Consider the following 4,111-nt stretch of genomic DNA (forward strand, 5'->3'; position numbering starts at 1 on the left):
GACCCTCAGCTGCAGGTCTGTTGGAGTACCCTGCTGTGTGAGGTGTCAGTGTGCCCCTGTTGGGGGGTGCCTCCCAGTTAGGCTGCTCGGGGGTCAGGGGTCAGGCACCCATTTGAGGAGGCAGTCTACCCCTTCTCAGATCTCCAGCTGTGTACTGGGAGAACCACTGCTCTCTTCAAAGCTGTCAGACAGGGACATTTAAGTCTGCAGAGGTTATTGCTGTCTTTTTGTTTTTCTGTTCCCTGCCCCCAGAGGTGGAGCCTACAGAAGCAGGCAGGCCTCCTTGAACTGTGGTGGGCTCCACCCAGTTGGAGCTTCTGGGCTGCTTTGTTTACCTAAGCAAGCCTGGGCAATGGCGGGCACCCCTCCCCCAGCCTCGCTGCCACCTTGCAGTTTGGTCTCAGACTGCTGTGCTAGCAATCAGCGAGACTCCGTGGTCGTAGGACCCTCCGAGCCAAGTGCAGGATATAATCTCATGGTGCGCCGTTTTTTAAGCCCGTCAGAAAAGCGCAGTATTCGGGTGGGAGTGGCCTGATTTTCCAGGTGCCTTCCGTCACCCCTTTCTTTGACTAGGAAAGGGAACTCCCTGACCCCTTGTGCTTCCCGAGTGAGGCAATGCCTCGCCCTGCTTCAGCTTGTGCAAGGTGCGCCCACCCACTGACCTGCGCCCACTGTCTGACATTCCCCAGTGAGATGAACCCAGTACCTCAGATGGAAATGCAGAAATCACCCATCTTCTGCGTCGCTCACGCTGGGGGCTGTAGACCGGAGCTGTTCCTATTCGACCATCTTGGCTCCTCCCCCTGAATCACCACTAAATTTTTTTAAAGTATGTTCTATTTTGGCATAATATGTAGACCCTGAAAAAATAATTTACTGTACTACAAAAGAAAAATAAGTTATGGAAGAAAATTTTAATGTAATCAGCCTTTAACATTGGATTGTTGAAATCAGAGTATCTGTACTTTTCTTATGATGTTCAGAATCACCCCACCGTTTTTTCCAACTATTTTCCTTCTTTCCTTCTCATGATTCAGAGACAAGCAACTATTTTTATTGCCATAAATACATCAATCAGCTTACTCTGATGTCAGTTTTGGTTCATATAAGCTATAGTCCACGTGTGTATCATCTCTATTAATGCAACTCAATCTTTTGAATTGTACTGCCACAAAAATTATTTGTTCTTCAGCTCACAGCTACTGATAAAATAATTTAGAACAATTATGTCACCCGAAGTTTAAAAGCAGCTCCGATTTTTCTACAGACTTTTGCTTCCTCTTACCTAAGTTTTGAGACCATAATTTTGATTCAGAACCTGTTCTTCTTGCCTTGCAAAAATTCTAGTTGCTACAGATTCATTAAATAACATCAGCCTGTCGATAATACCATTCAAATTTTAGTTCCCATGGCATATTAACTGTGAGTAATCACATAAAGTGCTTCACTGCTAGATTTTCACTCCACAAATCACTAGGTGCATCATGATCCATGACCAATCATGTCACTTTTATCAAAGTTTATTGGTGATTGTTCATTGCATAAAAATTCAGTTCTGACATAGCAAAGCATGTGCTTATGTTGCCTACTTGTCTCTCAGTTTTAAATCCATGAGACATATTACAAAAATAGATACTAGAAAGAAAAAATTGGCCAACAAATATGGAAGTGCACCAAAGAAATCAAGAGTAATAACACTGGGAGTGAAATCTGAATCAAACTTGAGTGGACTCATCAATAATTGTAGGAATGTTGCCAATGCCACCTTTAGGAAGGCTCTAGATGTGAAGCCAGGAAACATACTGAAAAATGACATCAACAAAATTGCAAAGTAGGAGTTCTCTGGTTTCTGTTCCCCACCAAGAAAATAAAACTAGCAACTATCTAAAGTCAAGATTACCATCCTGAATATCCCAGAACTTCGAAGTAAAGCTGTGATATTCCCTTGGATCAATGGAGCCAAGAAAAATAGCAATCAGAGAGTAAGGGAAATAGTTCTCCTTAATCATCACACCCCTCCTCTAAGCACATACAGTGCCACTTGTGGAGAATTCTTCTGGACTGACGGTGGTTTCTACAGTGGAAAGTGTAAATTGGAGAAAGACATTTGACTTCCTCACCATTCTGTGACACTTTACAGGTGGCTCGCTCTGGAAATATTGGGAATGTTAGCAGGGCTAGTCGACCAGGAGTCAATTCTAAATGAAGAATGGGAGTGGGGCCCACAGCAATCAACATGTGAACCTTGCTGCTGGCCATAGCAGATGCCGGTTTAAACCACTCTCTAGTGCTACAACGGCTATGGCAATGATAGGCTTGGAGACCAAAACAAATGGTCTGCTCAAAGTTTCTAGTCAGGTCTACTGTAGAAAAGTAGTCACAGACAGAGGCAGGCTGCAAAGATGAAATAAATACCCTTCTATTCAATGTGCAGACATCTATGAAGAACCAAAAGTATCAGGAACAATGAGGGAAATATGACCTCACCAAACGAAATGATATGCCAATGACTGACCCTAAAGAGACGAAGATGTACAAGCTGCCTAACAAGTAATTCAAAATAACTTTTTAAAGTAAATTCAGTAAAGTTCCAGAAAATATAAATAAAGAATTCAAAAATTTATCAGAGATATATAATAGAGACTGAAATAATAAAAATATCAAAAAGAAATCCTATATATGAAAAAAATACAATGAACAAAATAAAAAATGTAGTATATTTCATTAATAGCCAAATTGAGCAGAAGAAAGAATCAGTGAGCTTAAAGATAGACTATTTGAAAACAGACAGGGAGACAAAAGAAAAAAAAATGAAAAGGAACAAAGATATCTGGTGGGATTTATGGGACAACACCAAAAGAGCAAATTTTCTAGTCATTGAGTTCAAGAGAGAGTGGAGAAAGACAAAGGGGGTAGAAAGCTTATTTAAGGAAATAATAGCAAAACTTTTCCAAATCTGGAAAAAGATAAATATCCAGGTATAGAAATGTCAAAGACCATCAATCAAATTCAATTCAAATAAAGCTACTCCAAGACATGTTACAATTAAACTGACAAAACTCAAAGACAAAGAAAGCATCCTGAAAGCAGCAAGAGAGAAAAACAAATAACGTGTAGAGGAGTTCCAATATACCTAGCAGCATATGTCTCAGCAGAAATCTTACAGCCCAGGGACAGGCATGGTTACTCATGCCTGTAATCCCAGAACTTTGGGAGGCCAAGGTGGGTAGATCACTTGAGGCCAAGAGTTTGATACCAGCCTGGCCAACATGGCAAAACCCCATCTCTACTAAAAATAATTTAAAAATTAGTTGGGTGTGTTGGCATATGCCTGTAATCCCAACTACTTGGGAGGCTGAGGGACAAGAATCACTTGAACCTGGGAGGTGGAGGTTGCAGTGAGCCAAGGTCACACCACTACACTCCAGCCTGGACAATAAAACGAGACTATCTTTTGCAAATAAAATAATAAAATAAAGAAACCTTACAGGCCTGAAGAGAGTGAGATGATATAGTCAAAGTCTTAGAGGCAAAAAATTGCCAACAAAGAATACTGTAAAGCAAAGCTATCCTTCAAAAATGAAAGGGAGATAAAGACTATTCCAGACAAACAAAAGCTGAGGGAGTTCATCACCATCAGACCTATTTTCCTATTTTACAAGAAATGCTAAAGGAAGCTCTTCAAATTGAAAAAAAAAAAAGCTAACGAGTAACATTAAAATCCTTGTAAATATAAAGATCACTGGTAAAAGTAAGTACATGGTAAAACTTAGAATATGCTAATATTGTAATTGTGTTATGTAAACCACCTATCTCTCTAGTATGAAGATTAAAAGATAAAATATTTTAAAATAATAATAGCTAAAACGAGTGGTTGAGGAACGTATAATATAAGAAGTTTGTAAATTGTGACACAAAGAATTCAAACTATGAGAGGGAGTGGAGTTAAAGTGCAGAGGTTTACTTTTGTGATCAAAGTTAAGTTGTTACCAGTTTAAAACAACCTGTTATGTTTTTGGTAAACATAACAGTAACCGCAAAGCAAAAACCTATAATAGATACACTGGAAATAAAAAGCAAGGAATCAAAACATACTACTAGAGTAAATGAC

The 4,111-nt window shown here is 39.6% G+C and overlaps 2 annotated features.

The window, feature by feature from the left end:
- Nucleotides 1–510: an enhancer, noted in NCBI's record as "H3K4me1 hESC enhancer chr6:70154657-70155166 (GRCh37/hg19 assembly coordinates)". NCBI's record gives its function as "activates a minimal SCP1, AML or CMV promoter by ChIP-STARR-seq in naive H9 embryonic stem cells {active_cell/tissue: H9 hESC(naive)}" and the evidence as "EXISTENCE:reporter gene assay evidence [ECO:0000049][PMID:30033119]".
- Nucleotides 511–1,018: an enhancer, noted in NCBI's record as "H3K4me1 hESC enhancer chr6:70155167-70155674 (GRCh37/hg19 assembly coordinates)". NCBI's record gives its function as "activates a minimal SCP1, AML or CMV promoter by ChIP-STARR-seq in naive H9 embryonic stem cells {active_cell/tissue: H9 hESC(naive)}" and the evidence as "EXISTENCE:reporter gene assay evidence [ECO:0000049][PMID:30033119]".

This window comes from Homo sapiens, chromosome 6 (assembly GCF_000001405.40).
Source record: "Homo sapiens chromosome 6, GRCh38.p14 Primary Assembly".
Lineage (NCBI taxonomy): Eukaryota > Metazoa > Chordata > Mammalia > Primates > Hominidae > Homo > Homo sapiens.